This window comes from Homo sapiens, chromosome 2 (assembly GCF_000001405.40).
Source record: "Homo sapiens chromosome 2, GRCh38.p14 Primary Assembly".
Classification (NCBI taxonomy): domain Eukaryota; kingdom Metazoa; phylum Chordata; class Mammalia; order Primates; family Hominidae; genus Homo; species Homo sapiens.
The window spans coordinates 108437340-108460613 of NC_000002.12; the positions used below are offsets into that span (position 1 = coordinate 108437340).

At 39.6% G+C, this 23274-nt stretch overlaps 1 protein-coding gene across 9 annotated transcripts in view, besides 6 other annotated features; it reads left to right on the plus strand.

The window, feature by feature from the left end:
- Positions 10807-11789: an enhancer, noted in NCBI's record as "H3K27ac-H3K4me1 hESC enhancer chr2:109064602-109065584 (GRCh37/hg19 assembly coordinates)". NCBI's record gives its function as "activates a minimal SCP1, AML or CMV promoter by ChIP-STARR-seq in naive and primed H9 embryonic stem cells {active_cell/tissue: H9 hESC(naive and primed)}" and the evidence as "EXISTENCE:reporter gene assay evidence [ECO:0000049][PMID:30033119]".
- Positions 10807-12771: a biological region, named in NCBI's record as "H3K27ac-H3K4me1 hESC enhancers GRCh37_chr2:109064602-109065584 and GRCh37_chr2:109065585-109066566".
- Positions 11694-11953: an enhancer, noted in NCBI's record as "active region_16342". NCBI's record gives its function as "activates an Ori minimal core promoter by ATAC-STARR-seq in GM12878 lymphoblastoid cells {active_cell/tissue: GM12878}" and the evidence as "EXISTENCE:reporter gene assay evidence [ECO:0000049][PMID:35858748]".
- Positions 11790-12771: an enhancer, noted in NCBI's record as "H3K27ac-H3K4me1 hESC enhancer chr2:109065585-109066566 (GRCh37/hg19 assembly coordinates)". NCBI's record gives its function as "activates a minimal SCP1, AML or CMV promoter by ChIP-STARR-seq in primed H9 embryonic stem cells {active_cell/tissue: H9 hESC(primed)}" and the evidence as "EXISTENCE:reporter gene assay evidence [ECO:0000049][PMID:30033119]".
- The window catches only part of GCC2 (GRIP and coiled-coil domain containing 2), a 60210-nt gene continuing 48802 nt past the window's right edge, over positions 11867-23274 (plus strand). For 5 of the 9 annotated variants that reach the window (XR_923067.3, XM_006712870.4, XM_047446447.1 and 2 more), the window contains exons 1-4: positions 11867-11950; positions 12294-12350; positions 13689-13773; positions 15060-15127. Coding sequence is in view for 6 of the 9 variants with exons in the window: in XM_006712870.4 (XP_006712933.1) it covers positions 11936-11950; positions 12294-12350; positions 13689-13773; positions 15060-15127 (225 nt within the window). In the remaining 3 variants the exon portion in view is untranslated. The remainder of the gene's footprint in view (positions 11951-12293; positions 12351-13688; positions 13774-15059; positions 15128-23274) is intronic. The other 4 variants (NM_181453.4, XM_047446449.1, XM_006712871.2 and 1 more) reach the window with 3 other exon arrangements.
- Positions 12857-13357: an enhancer, noted in NCBI's record as "H3K4me1 hESC enhancer chr2:109066652-109067152 (GRCh37/hg19 assembly coordinates)". NCBI's record gives its function as "activates a minimal SCP1, AML or CMV promoter by ChIP-STARR-seq in primed H9 embryonic stem cells {active_cell/tissue: H9 hESC(primed)}" and the evidence as "EXISTENCE:reporter gene assay evidence [ECO:0000049][PMID:30033119]".
- Positions 13358-13858: an enhancer, noted in NCBI's record as "H3K4me1 hESC enhancer chr2:109067153-109067653 (GRCh37/hg19 assembly coordinates)". NCBI's record gives its function as "activates a minimal SCP1, AML or CMV promoter by ChIP-STARR-seq in primed H9 embryonic stem cells {active_cell/tissue: H9 hESC(primed)}" and the evidence as "EXISTENCE:reporter gene assay evidence [ECO:0000049][PMID:30033119]".

Sequence of the window (23274 nt, forward strand, 5' to 3'; positions counted from 1 at the left end):
CTATTAAGTTGATGTCAGTCCACGCCCCCTTTTTATTTATCAATTCCTCAGTCATGGGGAATCTGGTCGTTAATCTTTCTGACTGTTTCGTGCTGAGGAGGGGTGTCCTGGGCACCTCTATACCACAGGTGACCTCATGGCCACCCAGGAATCAAAGGTTAATCTAATACTATAGTTTTCTTCTGAAACACAATCTTTCTCTCTCCAGACCCCCTGACAATTCCACCAAAGGCAAATCACAGCAGGACCAATCTACCTGCAAAATAAGCTTCAGTCCCATAGACTTGGCCTGATTACCCACACAAAGTGCAGCAAGAATCATTGTCTACATAGGCGCTCCTAAACTGGCTTTGTTGGAACATCTCACAAGGCCATTTCAAACAAGGCCCACAGAAAGTAACCAGTTCCTCCAACTGTGTCCCATTATAAAAGAAAACACGTTGTTATTAACCATATTCCCAATTAATATTCACAAATAGTTTACAAATTCAGGAGAAATTAAACAATGCCTCAAATTCTGTTTATAAAAGTATACTCTACTCAATATACTTAAAGTATACTTACAGGCTATAAATAGCTCAAAAGAAAAAAATTTTCCAGACTCTGAAAAACAAAACAAAAAGAATAAGCAATATTTCAAAGGAAAATAGCCATACAAAATTATTTCTGTCATCCATTAATTCAGTCCACGCAATTAACTCCTGCTCTGCTTCATATTGGGTTAGCAATCTTTACGAACACAGCCTTTCAATTAATGCCCTGAAAGTTTTCTCTCAAATCCAATGGCACACCCAAAGTTATCAGAAACCTCCATTCAAGAGTCCTTTTTGTGAACTACTCCAAAGAAACAAGCCCTGGACTGTAGCTGATATATCAATTTTTTGAAAAGGATCAAAGCAAACATCAATTGTGGATGACAAAGTCTTAAGATAGCCATAATCAAAGACACAGTTGACAAGGAAATTTGGTTATTTCTGTGGCATACAATTTGACATAATAACCATAATTATTACTGACAAAATATGTTAAGACATATCAGAATTTCAGGAACGTGATACAATCCTGGAACACATATTAACAACATATCTGTATAAATATAACCCAAAGAAAGTTAAATACCACCTCACATTTGACAATGCTTCCTATATAATTCTAATATAACAAGTACGCCTACTGTCTCTCTTGGACTTCAGGGAACATGAATATCCGAACAGGTAGTGTAAGTTCAAAAAGTCTGAATTTAGAACTTGAAATTTTGCTATTGGAAAATCTGTCAAATATCAAAGGTTTAACACACGTGATATCTCAAAATAGGATCACAAGTTACTATAAAATAGTCATTCATTTAGCCAAAATTATAATACAAAAACATCTTCTATTTGATAAAAAGGAGATTCAGTTTCCCAAACAATAAGCCCTAATAAAGACAGCATGAGACCAACTAAACCTGTCTCTCCCGACTCCATTTTCTTCCTGCAGTTCACTCAAAAGGTAAATGAAATCTGTTATCTCTTATTAATATTACACAAACATTTTGTTCAAAAGAGAAAACCAAAATTTTACCCTTGTATGGTATATAATTAACACTAAAGCTAAGTTTAATAAAACTTTATAAACAAATGTATCTGATTTTAATCAGTTTGACTATAAGGTAAGATTTCCCTAAACCTTTTATAATGTTTTACAACTTTCTATTAAAGAGCAGATCAATGTTCCAGGAAAACCCTGTTATTCTGACACACGGTCCCAGACACTGGCTTTGCATCACTGGCTTTTGATATTAATGTTTAATTTATAGAAACACCTTAAACTAATCTTATCCCTCAAAATCTGCCCTTACGATCTAACGGGTCCAACTCTTCCACAATACTCCCCGGGCTTAGAGGGATTGAATCATTTTAATTTCTGGCCCCGTGTCTCACGAAAACTGGTTATTTGGTCAATCACCTTCTCCTGGTACTTAAGATGAGGCTTCAATTTGTGTTAATGCTCAAGATTTAGCAGAGGTCAATGATTTTTTCAGACCCAGGAGTCAAAGCTCTGTAACTTAACAGCACACAGATTAGTTAACAGGAAATTTACACAACAGAAAGTCATATCATTCTTTCTAACTTGTTACAAATTAAAACAATGTGATTTGTTGTTTAGGAGTTACTGCCTGCAGCACTTCAAACCACTGTATTAAAGCAGTTAGGTTACACATTGCATAGGCCTAATTGCTAGTATTCTAGTGACAAAACTGTGACCAAAAGCATCATAAAGTGATAGGTTCTATACCAAACTTACCAAAGTAAGACAGCTAACTTTTCTATTTTAAAAAAATGGTAAGCACAAATATCAGTTTTGAAAATTCAGTAAGAATAAATACTCTTCCTTCACTTAAATATTATACAACAAAACAGGGACAAAGTAAGAACGAGCACACAATAATTTCTTCTCAGCTATTTTAAAAGAGCATCATCACACGTTTCCCAAGATTGGTTTCTAGATACAGTACTGATAACTGATTAGGTAATTTTCATAACCAAAAATCTTCAGATCAGTGCAGCCCTTATATACATTGTGTTTCCAAGTACACACAGGAAGGCCCATCAGTGATAAATGGCTTGGGATCACAAATCAGTAGAAAGTCTCACATCTTTTATTACTACTTAATCCAAGTGAATGTTACTTAATTTTAATAATGTTCAACACAACTAAAGTAGTTTGAGAGAAATCCCAATCAACATAATTTCCTTAAAGATAAGGCCAATTTTTCCTGAACCTTAAAACTTTGTATCCATATCGGTTTTTCCTCATTAAAGGGTAAGATCGGAAACCAACTCAAGTTATTGATTGAAGAGAATTACCTTGGAAATAAACACCATTTAAATATTTCTGCTCTCATCTACTTTCCAATTAACGAAATGTATAATGTACTATTTCTGTTCAGAACATAAGTCTTTTGTTTTACTTTTTCCAGGAACCTTAAAGCTCTTGTAGCTCTCTAGATCATTAGTGGTAAGAAAAAACAAGAAAATTTTAAATGGCTGGTGTGCTCTACCGATTTTTCCAGGCTTGACAACTGCAGCTTAGGAATTCTAGATAAACAGAACAAATAATGAATTGTTACAAATGCATAGGAAACAAAATGGCTATTCATAAAGCCAAATAAAAGCATTCCATTAGAAACTAAAAAAATCAATGGTTTTATACATGTATATATAAGTAAAACCCAAAAAAAAAAAGAGCAAATAAATGAAAATCAGAAGCGAAGACAAACAAGAAACCAACCCCAAGTTTTTCTCCTACTCAGTTTACCTTGGAAGCTAAAGTGTTACCTAGAGCCAAATAAACCCCCCCACACACACATACACACACACAAGGTAGATATTTTGTTCCAGGTATGTAAATTAATGTCTTTAAGTCCACCAATACCACTGTACATTTTGTACATTAAGAAATTCACTTTAGGCACATGACCAGTAAGTATTTTAGTGCTAGTACTATCTATACAGTGTAAAACAAAGCAATGCAAACATATATGTGAAATTCGGCTCCATGTTAAACCTGGCTCCATGTTAAATCTTGCTTCATGCTTAACTATATTAAAAAAGAATTGCCAAACTGCAAATGTATTTCTTCATAATATTTATTTTATTTTCATCAAAACTAAGTGCTTTAAACAACAGCATTTAACTGAGCTTTAAACTAAGAGCATTTAAACAAATGTTTAAATGCTATGTTAATTAGCCAAATTTCTCCAATTTTCTATCAGGTTTTAAAGAATATTATCTAAACTTTTTCAACTTTCTATCTTCTCTGTATGTGCACAAATATAGACATACAGAGAAGTAGTAAGAAAACCGTGTATGACTTACACAGACAACCTATATGACATGTTTGGACTTTCTGTTTTGTCTTAAATTTTTTTTTTTTTCTTTTTTTTTGAGACGGAGTCTTGCTCTGTCGCCCAGGCTGGAGTGCAATGGTGCGATCTTAGCTCACTGCAAGCTCCACCTCCCGGGTTCATGCCTTCTCCCGCCTCAGCCTCCCAGCTAGCTGAGACTACAGGCACACGCCACAACACCTGGCTAATTTTGTTATTGTATTTTTAGTACAGACAGGGTTTCACTGTGTTAGCCTGGATGGTCTCGATCTCCTGATGTTGTAATCCACCCGCCTTGGCCTCCCAAAGTGCTGGGATTACAGGCATAAGCCACTGCACCCGGCCAATTATTTTTTTTAATAACCAGTCATTTTATTTTAGGACAAAAATTCACCATACAAGATCCTTTCTCATACAAAATTCTTCTCTTTTCTTTATAACTTTCCTTACCAAACGTACATCTTCATATCTGTAACTTTCTTCACATCTCTCTCCCCCATTTCTTTACTACCTTATTTTATAAATAACTTTTTGCAAGTCCATAATTTGAATTAACCTTTAGATAACTTTCGAATTAGACAAAATTATTCTTTTTCTAACAACACATCTTTATGGCATATCTTATATAAAGAATTATATATTAACTATAATTGTGATCATTAGTAACCTTAAATTTTATTGAAAATGTCCTTGAAATATCCGATATCAGCACTTTATAGAGGAGAACAATTACACAATTTTTAGAAATGTATTTTCCCATATCATAATCTTTTCTTAATTCCAAATGACCCAAGTATCCAATAAGCATCCAATAAGCATAAAAAATAAAGATTTTAAATTACACAAAAAGTTTACCTAAAACAAGTTTCCCACTTATATGTACTCAATTCTTTCATTTTTAAGTTTATTTAGATTACTTCTGAAAACTAAAATATTAGACACCGTCATGTAAAGTTATTTCCTTGTTAACCATTTTTTAATAGTCAGTGAACATCAGGTGCTCACCTAAGTAAGAGTCTCAAAGTTAAAAACATAGGTATTTTTGTCAATAACTCAGAAGATTCAGCTAACAACATTAGTCTCATTTGTCAAAGCAGGCACACCAACCAAGATCATTTTGCTTTGGCTGGGTTTATAGTTTTACAGCCTTCTATGCAAAACCCTGATATCTCAAAATATCTAGCAGAGACAAATATAAAACTCAGACAAAAACATATGCTGACAATTCTGAAGACATTTCTATTTTTATTGTACCAATAATTTGAAAGCCATCTAGCTAGTTTAGTAAAGATTTATTTAGGTCATGTGAATTTGAAAAATACTTTGGACTTATTTATTTATGACTACTCTTATTTATAAGACAATTTGATAAACACAACATATAACTTAATAAATGTACATTCAGGCCAGGCACAGTGGCTCATGCCTGTAATCCCAACACTTTGGGAGGCCAAGACAGGCAGATCACGTGAGGTCAGGAGTTTGAGGCCAGCCTGGCCAATATGGTGAAACCCTATCTCTACTAAAAATACAAAAATTAGTTTGCGTGGTGGCGGGCACCTGTAATTCCAGCTACTCAGGAGGCTGAGGAAGGGGAATCACTTGAACCCAGGAGGTGGAGGTTGCAGTGAACCGAGATTGTGCCACTGCACTCCAGTCTGGGTAACAGAGAGACTCCATCTCAAATAAATGAATAAACATTCACATAAACACATCTAGACATGGATACACACATAAAGATCCAGTGGCTTTTATTTGGAAACTCTAGCCATGAGATAGCAATACAAACTCAACGGTCTACAAACATGTTCACATGGCTGAACTCTGTTAGCCCCAGTAGGTAATCCAATGAGGCCTGTAAACCAAAATTTTGGGTAAAGCAGTCTCCATGGAAATTGGATTTTTAAAGGCCATACATCCCAGACTCCAAAGAACACTAGGGCCAAACAGTACTACAGAAGAACATCACCTGGAATCTACCAATTAGGCCCAACCCTGTTTAGAATAGCAAAATCAAAGCCGGAATACATGGTACACTTTCCCATTCAACTCTAGATTCCCAAGAATATTGGGGCCAAACAGTATTACAAAAGAATGTCAGTTTACTGAATTCTAGTTTCCCATGATGATACCAAACACACAAACAATAACCAAAACACAATTCAATGCAACAGGAACAAACAAGTCCCAAAAGTGTCCAAACTGAAACAGGCAGGGTGTTTCCTCTCTCCATGAGATGGGCGTGGTCAACCTGCAAACAAAAATTCCTTCATAATTTCCCAAATTGGCCAGGCGCAGTGGATCATGCCTGTAATCCCAGCACTTTGGGAGGCCAAGGCAGGCGGATCACGAGGTCAGGAGATCGAGACCATCCTGGCTAACATGGTGAAACCCTGTCTCTACCAAAAATACAAAAAATTAGCCGGGTGTTGTGGCTGGCGCCTGTAGCCCCAGCTACTCAGGAGGCTGAGGCAGGAGAATGGCATGAACTCGGGAGAGGCGGAGCTTGCAGTGAGCCGAGATCATGCCACTGAACTCCAGCCTAGGCAACACAGCAAGACTCTGTCTTAAAAAAAAAAAAAATTCTCAAATTAAGAGGAACTGATCCCATTGTCTGGTATCCACAAAAGACACTCACTTGCCCAGACACAAAACACACAATTACAAAGAAGCCCCAAAAATGTCCAAACTGAAACAGTCAGAATGCTTCTCCCTCTCAGTCAGTTGGCCTTGTTCAACCTACAAAATGGAAATTCAGCTTAAAATTTCCCAAATTAGGAGGAGCAGATCCTGCTTTCTGGGCCCACAAAGGACACTCACCTATCTAGATGTAGATGTGAAATTTCAAAGGCAGTTCGTCCCAGGAAGTCAGGAACGCAGTTGGGGCTGGCAGTATCAGGGCCAGAGAGAGATGGAAACTCACCTCTAGTCAAAATTGGATGGGCAGCCATTTAGGTGGTCTTCTGAGACTCCTGGCCCTAGCAGCCAAGCCAAGAGCAACACATTCCCAATCAGGGAACCACAATCTGTTACAGAAACACCAGGGGAAAGTCTATGTCCTGCCGCTCACCACACGGAAAGCCAATCACTGAGATGATGAGTATTGCCAAGGAAGAAGATTTTAATTGGGTGCTGCAGCTGAGGAGATGGGAGCTCATTCTCAAATCCATTTCTCTGACTGACTAAAATTAGGAGTGTATACAACAGGGAAGAAATGTAACAATGTGTAAGGAAATAGGAACTAGGGAGGGGCAAGGAAGCAATCATAATGAATGAGGGGTCCACCATCTCATTGTCAGGATGTGGTGATCTGTAACTTTCAGTTTTTTGATACTTTTTTGAGAGGCCTAAAGGTAGTTTCCTGAGGAAGGAACTCAGATAAAACAAATGTAAGTTTCAAGCTTTAAGACCAGAAGGTCCATTTCTATGTTTATCAACAATACTATCTATGGGACTATTGGGTCGGTTCCATTATCACCACTGCTCTTCGGCTTCATTATCTCTGTTTCCTCCCTTGTTTCCTTAGAGACATGATTTTCCTGAATCTCACAGGCTGAAAATCAGTTATATGTGCCTTTTTAAAATAACTGCTATGGGCTGAATTGTGCCCCATCCACCAAATTCATATTTTAAAGTCCTAAATCGCAGTCCCACAAAATGTGACCTTTTGGAAATAGGGTCTTTACAAAGGTAATCAACTTAAAATGAGGTCATTAACGTATACCCTGATCCAATGTAACTGCAGTCCTTACAAAATGTGAAATTTGGCCACAAAAACATGCATAGAAGGAAAATGATGATAAGAGAAACAAAGGGAAGACAGCCATCTGTGAGCCAAGGAGTGAGGCCAGAAACAGATCCTTTCCTCACAGCTCTGAGGAACCAGCACTGCCAACACCTCTGAACTTCCAGCCTCCAGGACTGTGAGACAATACATTTCTGTTGTGTAAGCCAACTAGTCTGTGATACTGTTACAGAAGCCCTGGCAAACAAATAAAATAATTATATAATCTAATAAACTAAAGGCACAGAAGTTTACCCTGACTTAAAGCAGAAACCAAATTCACCAGTGATAGAAGCAGGAGATAGCCAAATGCCTAAGCAGATAGGGAAGGGTCCCCAGAGAATCTCTGACCAGCCACACAAGGGTTTACACCAGATGTTTTGTGCAGATAAGGGAACCTGCACAGGGGTCTTGCCTGGGCATGCCCACAGTGGACTGGAGGCCCACATGCACTGGGGGAATAGGGTGGAGCCACCAGGAATTTGCGCCTTATGCAGGGGAGGAGCCTGGCCTCTTCAACTCATGTGTGGTGGCCCTGGTATTCAATTTGGGAGGTGACAACCTGCTCTCAGGACCCCTCTCTTTGCTGAGAGCTTTCTTTTCACTTAATAAATTCCACTCTCCTCATCCTTCAATGTGGCTGCATGCCTAATTCTTCCTGGTCATGAGAAAAGAACCCAGATTAGCTGAGCTAAGGAGCAAAAAAATCCTGCATCACCAGTATGAACATCTAAGACTCATGAACATTTGTTTTCAATATTGTTATAAAAATTTACTTTATAAATTAAAAAGTAATGCTGGCTAGCTACAGCATGTTGATGTGGCTTTACAGTATAATACCAAATAGATAATATTTTTGTGTCATGGAGGAGAAAGCATTGCACTGAGGGTCAAGAATCCTCTGTTCTGGCCGGGCGTGGTGGCTCACACCTGTAATCCCAGCATTTTGGGAGGCCGAGGGAGGCGGATCACCTAAGGTCGGGAGTTCGAGACCAGCCTGACCAACATGGTGAAACCCCGTCTCTACTAAAAATACAAAAATTAGCTGGGCATGGTGATGCATGCCTGTAATCCCAGCTACTCAGGAGGGTGAGGCAGGAGAATCACTAGAACTTGGGAGGCGGAGGTTGTGGTGACCCGAGATTGTGCCATTGCACTCCAGCCTGGGCAACAAGAGCGAAACTCCGTCTCAAAAAAAAAAAAACAATCCTCAGTTCTGGTACTGGCTCTACCCCTAATCATACTATGAACCTTAGAAAGTAACTTACATTCTGGCTCACTATCTTATCCTGTATAATAAGAGGCAATAGGTTAGGTCAGAACTACATTCACTTGTAAGTATATTAAAAGTAAATTAAAACATATGACTTATCTTTTAGCTACATCAATACAATATAAATGGGCCGGGTGTGGTGGCTCATGCCTATAATCCTAGCACTTTGGGAGGCTGAGGCAGGTGGATCACTTGAGGTCAGGAGTTCAAGACCAGCCTGGCCAAGATGGTGAAACCTTGTCTCTACTAAAAATACAAAAATTATCCAGATGTGGTGGCACTTGCCTGTAGTCCCCGCTACTCGGGAGGCTGAGGCGGGAGAATCACTTGAACCCAAGAGGCAGAGGTTGCAGTGAGCCAAGATCATGCCACTGCACTCCAGCCTGGATGACAAAGCAAGACCTGTCTGAAAAAAAAAAAAAAAAAAAAAGGAGAAGAAAGAAAAAAAAATACAATGTAAATGTAGTTTTTCCATGCTTACCTTAAGAGTTATAATCAAAGCACTGAAGAGCCAAGGATTGATTTTTCTGAAATAAAACTTGCTAGCGAACTAACAAAAAAAGATCAGGTGTCTCTCCGGACCATCCCTAAGCAACAGGTGCCTTTTAATGTGGCTCTTCAGGAGATAATGGCATGTTGGCACCATTCCAAACTGGTAAAGAAGCTATTTTTACTTAGGCAAGACCCTGCAACTTGCTCAAATTATATTATGTTTCAGTAGTGCTGGTTAACATACAGCAGTCTCCATCTACTATACAATGTGACCAGCACAGCACATATTATTGACATTGTTATTAACATTGTTCCTATTTTCTATTTCCATAAATGATTCAAGGTGATTTTTATTTTCTTTTCGGAATTTTCCTATATTTTCCAGGTGTTCTACAATGAACCTGTGTTACTTTTACAATTGGAAAGAAACATATTCGTTAAACAGGTCATAGTTCTGCTCATTAAGGTAATATACATCTTTAAAATGTGAACTTATCTGCAGTCCAGAGAATGTGAAATATAAAGCAGATCTTTCCTATAGGTTTATGAATATCAGAAGATCTCAGAGTACTCACAATCAATTCATAAATATTCATTCTTTAAAGTATGAAAGATGATAAATATATTTAGAAGATTTCAGCACTTACTATAACTAGTGAAGGAAGAAATAAATGATTTCTTCCTTAAGAGGAACAACAACAGAAGGTATCCGATGGTCAAGAACATTATACCTGCCTCCATCATCTCAGAAAATAAAATTCCTGTCCAATGACAACCAGGAAGGCAGATGGGGGTGAGCTCGAGCTGTGTGAGGAGGCCGCTGATGACCTGGAGCTTAGGGGTGTGCTGACCCTCATCTCCCTGGGGATTCCCAGGAGACGCTGCCCTACCTGTAGCTGCAACTCATGGACCCTGTTACCCAGCCAAGTGCAATGGAGGGCTGGCGAGGGAAGAAAGATCAAAGGAAGAAAAGAAAGGTTCTTTTTTATTTCAAGTATGAGAAAAAGAGAGTTCTACTGTGAGAACATCAACTCTTCTGTAGCTATTGATGTAGCCAAACTCCTGGAATGTAACTATATCTAACAGTGTTTCTCTGAGAAACTTTTACAGGATTGGAATGTGTGTAGTATCTAGTTAACCTGCTATTTTATTGCAAGTGATTTTTTCAAGTTATTAATTGAAATAGGAGTCTACCGTAAGTTGCTCTTAACTTGGGGAACTACTTTGAATGGCATTAATCTGGACCATTAATAACAATGTATACTTGGGGATTGTGTGTGTGTGTGTGTATACATGTGTGTGCATATATGTGTGTACACACACGTGCACACACACGTGCGCGCACACGTGCACACACACACGTGCACACACACACGTGTACACACACACGTGTACACACACACGTGTGTTACTGTACGTGGAGACTGTACATCTTAGGTCACACACCACCCCTGAACCAATCCTACAAACACCATAGGTGATACACACTGTCAAAGACAAAGAGTAGATGTCCACAATAGCTGTTCTTTCTCGTTTATAACACTTCTTTTACCTAGTAATAATCAGCTACCATTTACTCGATACATACTGTGTGCTGCCTCTTCAACCTTTTGACCATTTAAACTACAGGAAACTAGGTTATCTTCAGGTTACCTTAGTTATGGGAGTGTATGGAAAACATTAATGGGAAGGTGAAAGCGCAGCAAACCACTTCAGCAGTTAACAGAAAGGCTCTCAGAGCACTGGACCGCCAATCAGGACACAGCAGCAGCTCTGGGATTCGACCACAGATTCTCTGGCGTGCCCTTCGGGAAAGGGTGGCCTCGGGCCCCCTACTCTACAGAGTCTCCTCCCACGGCTGCCCAGTTCCCTGGCCGACTATCTTGCCTCCACCACATCACCATCAGTACCGGGCGGCTGCAGGGCAGAGCTGTCCAGGGACCTCCTCACAGCCTCCAGAGTCAAGAAATGCCTCCTCAGGGAAGCCCTCTACCGCATCCCTGACCTGTGAGTCACGGAGCTCCCGGGCACCATGCTGGCCACAAATGCCTAAGGAGCCCCCCGGAACCAGCTGTGGGTCCCGCAGGCACTCGCAGGCTAGCGGACACCTTTGGAGGACTGAGAGACCTGTCCTGCAATCCAATGTTCCTCACTCTCACAAGATTTTACAGACGTGGAAACCGAGGCCCGAGGCCCCAAGGGGTAATCGGCCCGCCTTCCCATGCCAATAACCGGCAGTGGCGGGACCCACACCTACTCCGTGACCTGCAGGCCCAGGGGTCGAGCCCCAGGTAGAACGTCTAGACGGACTCCGCCCTTAGCGCCGTACGGGGAACCTTCTCCCGGACGCAGACACGGAAGCGGAAGTGCTGCCGAGCTGTAGCTATGGAGACGTGGGGGGCGGGCCGCCCGGAGAGCGCGACCTTTGACCTGCAGTAGAGCCTACGTCAGAGGCTGGCGCAAACAGAAGTGCAGCGGTGGCGGCGGCTGGTTGCGGGCCGGCGGCGGGCTGGCGGAGATGGAGGTAACTCAGGTCGGGCCCACTGCCTCCCATCAAGCCTTCCGCGCCGCGATTTGGGATGTGGGAGTGGGCCCGATGGGAGGGCGCGGTAGTCTCCCTCTTGGTGTCCCGAAGCCCGCGCTGCTGTCGCCTCCCCATCTTTCGTAAACTCTATCCCTGGGGGTTACCTGCCCCGTAGAGCCCGTTTGTGTACGAATTGCCACAGCGACCGCCTCCGTCCGCCCTCATTCTCTGTCTCACGAGGCTTTCCACCACTTGATTCCATAGAAGGTTTTTCCCTGTAAGGGTTCTACGCGTTCCGTGTGGAATTAGGAAAAGAGTTCTTCTGACACCTGGGTTTGATTTTGTTTTGCAGGATCTTGTTCAAGATGGGGTGGCTTCACCAGCTACCCCTGGGACCGGGAAATCTAAGGTGAAGAGAATACTTGAATAGCGGGCTTCCTGAAGAGTGGAAGGGTGATGAATTGGAAAACTTTGGCATGGGGAAGGGGGGGGCGCTGATTTTTTTTTTTTTAATAGCCTTGCTCCAAGGGATCTCAATTTTAGTGTGCGCAATCGCCCATTTCCTGTTTCTCCCCCGCCCACCCCGATATAGAAAGACTTTTTGTTTGCTTCCTGCTCCTGGTTAGCACTGCTGGGAGATCCTGCTATTTTTCGAACATAAAGCAGTCTAAGAAGGTTTATATAGTGGTGTAGTGGAAGGAGCAGTGACATAGGGTAGGAATCAAGGGATTCTGATCTGTGGGCTCCAGTTTCTACATTGCCAAAGAGTTTAATTAGTCCAGTTTTATGGCCCTGTACAATGTTTAACATTCAATCATTCTAAATGATAGTGGTTTATTGCTAAGGTTTATTGTGTGCATGCTAAATTTCTGGCGCTTGCCTAACCACTCAGTTCCTTCGTTTAAGCTTCATGATAACCATGAGATAGGTACTGTTGTTACCCTCCTTTTACAGATGAGAAACCTGAGACCACAGGCTTAAGCAATTTTCTCAAGTGGTAAAGCTCAATTTTTTAATTAAAGCCTGAATGTTACCCGGTTCATCTTGCTGCTGTAATTATGCGTAAATTTTCTTGTGACCAAAGACTTGCAGCCTTGAATAGAATGAAATAATTTTACAGCTCCAAGGAATTTTAAGTAGCATTAGCTCCAACCTACTGATTTTACAATTAAATCAAAAGCTAGCAATGTCAACCTGTAACATTAGCTATAAGAGGATATGGCCTGGTTTTTACGTTTCATAGTAGTTGCATAACTAATTTTTAGTAGTTGCATAGCAATTACAGAATTGACGTTGCATTTGCTGATTTTAAAAAATGTGGCCGGGCGCGGTGGGTCACGCCTGTAATCCCAACACTTTGGGAGGCCGAGGCGGGCAGATCACCTGCGGTCAGGAGTTTGAGACCAGCCTGGCCAACATGGTGAAACCCCGTCTCTACTAAAAATACAAAAATTAGCCGGACGTGGTAGCGGGCGCCTATGATCCCAGCTATTTGGGAGGCTGAGACAGGAGAATTGCTTGAACTTGGGAGGCAGAGGTTACAAGTGAGCCAAGATCGTGTCATGCACTCCGGCCTGGGCAATAGAGCGAGACTCTGTCTCAAAAAAAAAATGTGGAACAAAGTATGCGGTTGGCATAAAGATTTATTCTGTAGAATGTTTTTGTTTTCTAGCAGACATTGTTTCTTTTTTGTGGTATACTAGAAACATGAGTTATAACAAGTTGGTAACATGACCACATCTTTCAGCTGGAAACATTGCCCAAAGAAGACCTCATCAAGTTTGCCAAGAAACAGATGATGCTAATACAGAAAGCTAAATCAAGGTGTACAGGTATTGGGTTGAAAATACTCATCTTGATCACAGTCTCTTTAATCGTGGTTTAAAATGGTAGTTTTTAAAATAATGCATTGGCTTGTTTTTGTTTGTTTTCCAGTGATTCCAAGTACACCTTAGTGTAGTAGAATCTGTTATTTAACATTCTAAAAATTTACCTCTGATTTCTAAATTATTCCCACATCTCTAAACCACAGTGACTTTTGAGTTGTTAAAGTCAGGGAGGAGGATTTTTAAAGTTTGTGTAAGTTAAGTGTGTTTTTCCTTCATGTAGACTTTAGATTCTTCTGAGTTCTGAGTAAAGTGTTTTTTCAAGAGAAGTCAGTTGAAATGTTAGAGACAGAAGATAAGCCCAAAGAGATGGAAAGCTTCCTCAATTAAAATAATAAAAGACTTCCATTTACAGATATTGAAGTATGTTTACCTGCTGAAGTTGATTGATTCCCTATTCAGTTTTCTTTTTATTCCAGAAGGAAAAAGATCTTAGCACCTTTTTTTTTTAGTATATGTACATGAGCTCTTGAATTTCCAGTGACTTATAAATATTAACTGCTTAGCCTAAAAGCTAAGACTTATTTTCTATTAGAAAAGATAAAAGTATGTCTTGGGAGTTTGGATCACCTTGCAATGAAGAGAATAATTTATTTGGAAAGAAGTTCTAGGCCTGAGATCTAGGCATTTGCTAATTAAACACTTAGATTAACGTTTCTTTTCTCTCTCTCTCTCTTTTTTTTTTTTTTTTTTCAAGACGGAGTCTCGCTCTTCTTGGCCAGGCTGGAGTGCAGTGGCGCAATCTCGGCTTACTGCAACCTCCCCTTCCCGGGTTCAAGCGATTCTCCTGCCTCAGCCTCCCGAGTAACTGGGACTGCAGGCACCCACCACCATGCCTGGCTAATTTTTGTATTTTTAGTAGAGACGAGGTTTCACCATGTTGGCCAGGCTGTTCTCGATAACGTTTATTCTTAATATGTGATTGTTGCTTTAAGGTTATACAGTAAGATGTACTTACAGGTGAAATAATATGATGTCTGGGGTATGCTTGAAAATTATCAGATGGATAAGAAAAGCAGTGAAGGAGGAAGTGAGTACAGGTTGGGAGGAAACAAAATTGGCCATGTAATGCTGAAGTATAGTGATGAGTGCAGAGATTAATCATACTATTCTGCTTAAATATATTCTAATTTGCAGATTTATGGGGGGTTTTGTGAGAATGTACTTATCAGTTTCCCAGTAATTATGTTCTTTATTTCTGAACCGGAGTCCTTTATTTTTTAATTGTTTAGAATTGGAGAAAGAAATTGAAGAACTCAGATCAAAACCTGTTACTGAAGGAACTGGTGATATTATTAAGGTAATTATTACGTTGGGAAATGTCTAAAGAGAAATAAAATTTCCCTGAGGATTGTCAGTCTGCTAGAGGCTATCTGGCTTTCTGTTTCTGTTCTACTTCCTCTCTGCCTTGGTTGTTTTTACCTATCTGATTCACTGTAAAAAGAGGGGGTTAATGACCTCTGGGTCTCTTTCTGTTCTGAAATTATTATTCTACTCTCTTCCCACGTATTTTCTTTTTTCTTTCTTTTTTTTTTTTTTTTTTTTTGAGATGGAGTCTCACTCTGTCACCAGGCTGAAGTGCAGTGGTGTGATCTTGGCTCACTGTAACCTCTGCCTCCCGAGTTCAAGCAGTTCTCCTGCCTCAGCCTTCCAAATAGCTGGGACTACAGGCGCCCGCCACCACACCCAGTTAATTTTTGTATTTTAAGTAGAGACGGGATTTCACCATGTTGGCCAAGATGGTCTTGCTCTCTTGACCTCACGATCCGCCCGCCTCAGCCTCCCAAAGTGCTGGGATTACAGGCGTGAGCCACCACGCCCAGCCCATATTTTCTAATTATGGTTGTTACTTCATTCTCTGCTCTTCCCCAGCCCCCTGAAAACCTGGCCATGCTCAGGACTTAAGTGATTTTAGGTGTACAGTATATAATCTATAGATAGATCCATATCCCTGGACATGTCTACTGACCCAGATCTCACAGTTGTGTTTCCCTCTCACACATTTCACTTATCTCATCAAACTCAACCAAATTGCTTCCCTTGGTTAGACCAGTGGCACCACAGTTTTTTATACCTTTTGACTTTAGAGACACTTTAACTTCTCTGTTTCCTTTATTCTCTATATGTGTCAGTCACCAGAGACCTATTATAGCTTTAAGATATTGTTCCAGTTTATCTTTTTTCTCTCTATTTCTATGGCTTTATGTTAAACACATCAAATACTTAACCTATTTCAATAAAAACCTCACTGGGTTCTCTTTCTCTTTTTAGTCTTATATAATACTGCCAGATAACAAAATATTGTTTTTATTCCCCGTTTAAAAACCTGAGTTGCAGGCCAAATGCAGTGGCTCACACCTGTAATCCCAGCACTTTGGGAGGCCAAGGTGGGAGGATCACTTGAGGTCAGGAGTTTGAGATCAGCCTGGCCAGCATGGTGAAACCCTGTCTGTACTAAAAATACAACATTTAGCTGGGCGTGATTGCCCACACCTGAAATCCCAACTACTCAGGAGGCTGAGGCACGAGGATTGCTTGAACCCAGGAGGCAGAAGTTGCAATGAGTTGAGATTGAGCCACTGTACTCCAGCCTGGGCAACACAGCAAGACTCCGTTTTTAAAAAAAAAAAAAAAAACACAAAAAATCTGAGTTGCTTATTCTTATTTCCACTCCCTTAATGCTAACAAATGCTTTTTCATTCCCTCACTTTCATTGCCCGCCTTAGGCCAAGCTTCTGTAAAGTTTCTTTTACATCTCAGAGCTCTGAAATACTGTTTTCACTGCTTTTGCATAATATCCGTTGGTTATATATTTATTTATTTTTATTTATTTATTTATTTTGAGACAGAGTCTCGCCTTGTCGCCCAGGCTGGAGTGCAGTGGCACAATCTCGGCTCACCGCAAGCTCCGCCTCCTGGGTTGACGCCATTCTCCTGCCTCAGCCTCCCAAGTAGCTGGGACTACAGGCACCCGCCACCATGCCTGGCTAATTTTTTGTATTTTTAGTAGAAACAGGGTTTCACCACGTTAGCCAGGATGGTCTCGATCTCCTGACCTCGTGATCCACCTGCCTCGTCCTCCCGAAGTGCTGGGTTTACGGGCGTGAGCCACTGCGCCCAGCCTGGTTATATATTATCTTATTTTCTCATCAGTGGCTCCCCACTTGTGAGCAGTGAACTACTGAGGGACTCCCAGAGAGTTATTACAAGGGGTCTTTAAATCCATATGCATGTCACACAGTATCATTTTGTTCTTTATTTAGTTACAGTGTATGAAGCTAGAATGATGTGCACAAATGTCATTTCATTTTATAATGTACTGTTTCATTTAAGTATTACTGAGTTCACAGTAGTCTTCTTTGTATATTTAGTCATTATATGTTTTCTTAATCCATGATAGCCACAGTACAACTATATGTTAATTAAGGAAGAAGGTCGATAACACCCAGACTGCCTGAGTCAGGCTTTCAAATCCTTGTTCATCTACTGATCAGCTGTGTGACCTTGACTAAGTTTCTTAAATTCTTTCTCTATGATTCAGTTTTGTCATCTGTAGAACAGCGATAATAATACTTTCTGTTTGTAGGATTGAGGTACAAACAGGATTGATGTAGAAATGTAGGATTGATAAGGTAATATATCTACTGCACATAGAACTGGGTTGGTCACATAAGTACCCAATAATTGTTAGTTATCATTGTTATTACTACCATTTATTATTTCTGGGGGATTTTTTTTTTTCTTGAGATAGGATTTCTCCCTATCGCCCAGGCTGGAGTGCAGTGGCGTGATCTCCGCTCACTGCAACCTCTATAGAGTGTTAGAAAACACTCTAGAAAGTTTTTTATCCATTAACTCTTATAATACTTTTTACAGAATTGCATTTCAGAATAAGAACATTTAAATATCTACCTGCTGTTTCCTCCTTATCACTCATCAATGTATTCTCCCACTGTCAAAACTACTCCTAAAGACAAGATTAGAAAATTTCAGCCAGGCTCGGTGGCTCACATCTGTAATCCCAGCACTTTGGGAGGCTGAGGCGGACAGATCACCTGAGGTCAGGAATTGGAGACCAGCCTGGCCAACTTGGTGAAACCCCATCTCTACTCAAAATACAAAAATTAACCAGGCATGGTGGCACGCGCCTATAGCCCAAGCTACTTGGTAGCTGAGGCAGAAGAATCGCTTGAACCGAGGAGGCAGAGGTTGCAGTGAGCTGAGATAGTGCCACTGCACTACAGCCTGAGCAACAGAGTGAGACTCCGTCTCAAGAAAAAAAAAAAATTCTCCAAGTTAGCCAACTTTACCTTTAAGGTTTTTTTTCTTTTCCTTCTTTTTTTTTCCTGATCCATTATATTTATACGTATTCATGGGGTACATGTGAAATTTTGTTAAATGCACAGAATATATAATCATTAAATCAGAGTATTTACTATCCACAGCCAGGTATTTATCATATATATGTGTTGTGTACATTTCAAGTCTTCTGGCTATTTTGAAAAATATTTATCTTTCCCTGTCTTAGATTTTACTTAACATAATGACCTCCAGCTCCATCCATATTCCTGGAAATGGCGTGATCTTATTCTTTTTTATGGGCATATAGTATTCCATTGTGTATATATACCACATTTATCCATTCATCCTTTGATGGGCACTTAAGTTGATTTCATGTATTTGCTATTGTGAGTAGTGCTGCAATAAACACAGGAGTGTATATATCCCTTTGTTATATTGATTTGTTTTCAATGACTACCAATATTGGGGTTTTTGGATTGTATGGTAGCTCTATTTTTAGTTTTTTGAGAAATCCCCAACTGTTTTCTTTTTTTTGAGACGGAGTCTTGCTCTGTCGCCCAGGCTGTAGTGCAGTGGCATGATCTTGGCTCACTGCAAGCTCTGCCTTCCAGGTTCACACCATTCTTCTGCCTCAGCGTCCTGAGTAGCTGGGACTACAGGCGCCGGCCACCAAGCCTGGCTAATTTTTTGTATTTTTTAGTAGAGATGGGGTTTCACCATATTAGCCAGGATGGTCTCGATCCCCTGACCACTTTGGGAGCCAGCCTCGGCCTCCCAAAGTGTTGGGATTACAGGCGTGAGCCACCGCTCCTGGCCTGAGAAATCCCCAACTGTTTTGTATAGTGACTATGCTTACCTACACTTCCACCAACAGTGTAGAAGAGTTCTTTCTCCACATTGTCATCAATATCTGTTACTTTTTTTCTTCTTAATAGCCATTCCTTATTGTGGTTTTGATTTGCATATCCCTGATGATTAGTGATATTGAGTATTTTATCATATACTTCTTGGCCATTTCTTTGTCTTTTAAGAAATGTCTATTCATGTCCCTTGCCTATTTTTTAATGGGGTTATTTTTTAATGTTGTGTTGTTTGAGTTCCTTGTATACTCTGGGTATTAGTCCCATATTGGATGAGTAGATTGCAAATATTTTGTCCCATTTAAGAGGTTGTCTTCTTCATGCTGTTGATTGTTTCTTTTGCTATGCAGAAGCTTTTTAGCCTATAATCTCAGCATTAAGGGAAGCCATGGCAGGAGGATCACTTGAGCCGAGCAGTTTGAGACCAGCCTGAGAAACATAGCAAGATCCGTTTCTACAAAAAAATATAAATTAGCCAGACATGGTGGAACATGCCTGTAGTCCCATCTTCTTGGGATGCTGAGATAGGAAGATCACTTGATCCCAGGAGGTTGAGGCTGCTGTGAGCCATAATCACACTTACTGCACTCCAGCCTGGGTGACAGAGGGAGCCCTTACATAAAAAAAAAAAAAAAAAAATTTAAGATGCCTTTCAGTTTAATGTAGTCCTATTTGTCTGTTTTTGTTGCCTGGGCTTTTGAGATCTTAGCCATAAAATCTTTGCCTAGACCAATGTCTTGATGCATTTGCCCTGTGTTTTCTTCTTTTAGTTTTACACTTTTGGGTCTTATATAATATAAGTCTTTAATCTATTTTTGTTGATATTTGTATCAACTAAATGGTGAGAGATAGGGACTCACTTTCATTCTTCTGCATATAGTTACCTGGATTTCCTGGCACCGTTTGTTAAGAGGGTGTCGTTTGCCCAGTGTGTGTTCTTAATGGCATTGTCGAAGATCGGTTGTGTATAAATATGAGGATTTATTTTTGGGTTCTCTATTTTGTTCCATTGGTCTGTATGCTTGTTTATATACCAATACTTTGTTGCTTTGGTTTCTATAGCCTCGTAATATGTTTTGAAGTCAAGTAGAATGATGCCGCCGCTTTATTTTTTAACTCAGAATTTCTTTAGCTTTTCTGGCTTTTTTTTTGGTTTCATGAAAACATTAGGATTCTTTTTTCTGTTTCTTTGAAAAATGGTGTTGGTATTTTAATAGGGATTTCATTGAACTGTACATTAGTTTGGATAGTATGATCATTTCAACAATATTTTGTGAGCATGAAATGTCTTCCTGCTTATTTGTGTTCTCTTCAGTTTCTTTCATCTGTGTTTTTGTAGTTTTCATTATAGAGATCTTACACTTCTTTGGCTTTTGTTTGAGCTACTGTAAAAGGTGTTGCCTTCTTGATTTCCTTTTTTAGCTATTTTATTGTTGGTATATAGAAATGCTACTGGTTTTTGTATGTTGAATTTGTATCCAGCAACCTTACTGAATTTATCAGCTCTAAGAATTTTTTGATAGTCTTTTGTCATCTGTAGAGAGGGACAGTTTAACTTCCATGTTTCCAGTTTGGATGTCGTTTATTTCTTTCTCTTGCCTAATTGTTCTGGCTAGGACTGTCAGTCCCATGTTGAATAGTAGTGGTGAAAGTGGGCATCTTTGTCTTCAGTTCTTAGAGGAAAGATTTTCAGCTTTTCCCCATTTTTGTGTGATGTTAATGTGAGTTTGTCATATGTGGCCTTTATTATTTTGAGGTATAATCCTTCTGTGCCTAGTTTGCTAAGAGTTTTTATCCTGAAGGGATGTTGAATTTTATGAATTCCTTTTTCTGCGTCTAGTGAGATGACATACGACTTTTGCCCTTTATTCTGTTGATGTGATATGTCACATTGATTTGCATATATTGAACCATCCTTGCATCCCTCGAATAAATTCATTTGATCATGGTGTATTATCTTTTCAATGTGCTGTTAGATTTGGTTTGCCAGTATTTTGCTGAGGATTTTTGCATTGGTGTTCATCAGGGATATTGGTTGTTGCTTTCTTTTTTTTTTTTTTTTTTTTGCTGTGTCCTTGTCTGGTTTTGGTATCAGGGTAGCACCAGCTTTCTAGAATGAGTTAGGGAAAATTGCCACCTCTTCAGTATTTTGGAGTAGTTTCAGGAGGATTGGTATTAGGTCTTTATACATTTGGTAGAATTCAGTGTGCATCCATCTGGTTCTGGGCTTTTCTTTGTGGGGAGACTTTTTATTACTGATTCGTTCTTGCTACTCATTATTAATTTGTTCAGGTTTTCTATTTTTTCCTGGATTTTTCTTTGATAGGTTGTATGTTTCCAGAAATTTATCCATTTCCTCTAGGTTTTCCAGTTTGTGGGTGCATAGCTGTTCATAATATTCTCTGATGGTCTATTTATTTCTATGAGAATGGTTGTAATGTCTCCTTTTTCATTTCTGATTTTATTTAGGTCTTCTTTTTTGTTGTTGTTAGCCTAACTAGTAGTTTATCAATTTTGTTTATCTTTTTGAAGAACAAGCTTTTCATTTTGTTGATCCTCTGCCTTTTTTAAAAGTCTCTATTTCATTTAGTTCTGCTTTGATCTTTATTAGTCGTTTCCTTCTGCTAATTTTGGGTTTGGCTTTGGCTTGTTCTTTCTGGTTCATTGAGGTAAATCATTAGATTGTTTGAAATCTTTTTACTTTTTGGATGTAGGCGTTTATTGCCATAAACTTAGTATTCATGTCCTGCTTTTGTTGTATCACACAGGTTTTGTGATACAAAAAATCACATAGGTTTTGTGATACAAAAGCACTGCTTTTGTTGTATCACATAGGTTTTGGTATGTTGTAGTTTCCATTTTCATTTGTTCCAAGAAATTTTTTGATTTTCATTTTAATTTCCTTATTGACCCATGGTCATTTGAGACCATGTTATTTAATTTTCATGTATTTCTGTCACTTCCAAAGTTCCCCTTGATACTGATTTCTAATATTCCATTGTAGTTCGAGAACATACTTGATATGATTTTGATTTTTAAAAATTTGTTGAAAATGATTTTGTGGCCTAACATATGGTCTTTTCTGAAGAATGAATGTTTCATGTGCTGTTGAGAAAAATATGTATTCTGCAGCTGTTGGATAAAATGTTCTACAAACATCTGTTAGGTCCATTTGGTCTAAAGTCTGGTTTAAATGCAATGTTTCTTTGTTAATTTTCTGTCTAGATGATCTGTCTAATGCTGAGAGTGGGGTGAGTTTGCCCAGTACGATTGCACTGGAGTCTCTCTCTCTCTAGATCTAGTAATAACTTGCTTTAGGAATCTGGGTGCTCCAGTGTCAGGTTCATATATGTTTAGAATTGTTACATCTTTTTGCTGGTTTGATTCCTTTGCCATTAGATAATGACCTTCTTTGTCTTTTTTTTTTTTTTTTTTTTTTTTTTTTTTTTTACTATTTTTGACTTAAAGTCTGTTTTATCTAAGTATAGCTACTCAGGAGCCTGAGGCAGAAGAATCGCTTGAACCTGGAATGCAGAGGTTGTAGTGAGCGGAGATCACGCCGCTGCCAGGCTGGAGTGCAGTGGCGCAATCTTGGCTCACTGCAGTCTCCGCCTCCTGGGTTCAAGTGATCCTGCCTCAGCCTCCCAAGTAGCTGGGATTATAGCCATCTGCTACCATGCCCAGCTAATTTTTTGCATTTTTGGTAGAGACAGGGTTTCACCATGTTGGCCAGGCTGGTCTTGAGCTCCTGACCTCAGGTGATCCACCCATCTCAGCTTTCCAAAGTGCTGGGATTACAAGCATGAGCCACCGTGCCTGGCCACTAAATAGATTTTCTAATCCTTTTGTTCTCTCTGCTCATTTGGTTTCTATTTGCATGGAATATCTTTTTCCATGCTTTAACTTTCAGTCTGTATGTCTCTTTACAGGGAAAGTGCATTTTTTGTGGGCAGCACGTAGTCGGATTATGTTTTTTATCCTTTTAGCCAGCCTGTATCTTTTAAGAGGAGAGCTTAACTCCATTTACATGCAGTTATTAATTATATGTGAGCCTTTTTTCTGTCATATTAACGGTTTTCTGGTTGCTTTATATATTCTTTGTTCCTTTCTCTTATTGTTTGTTATAGTGGTTTGCTGTCTTTTTATGGTAGTACCATTTGAGTCCTTTCTCTTCCTTATTTGTGTGTTGCTTTACCACTGAGTTTTCTATTTGTGTGTGTTTTTATGATCATAAATGTCATCCTTTCACTTTCAGGTTTAGGACTTCTTGAACATTTCTTGTAGG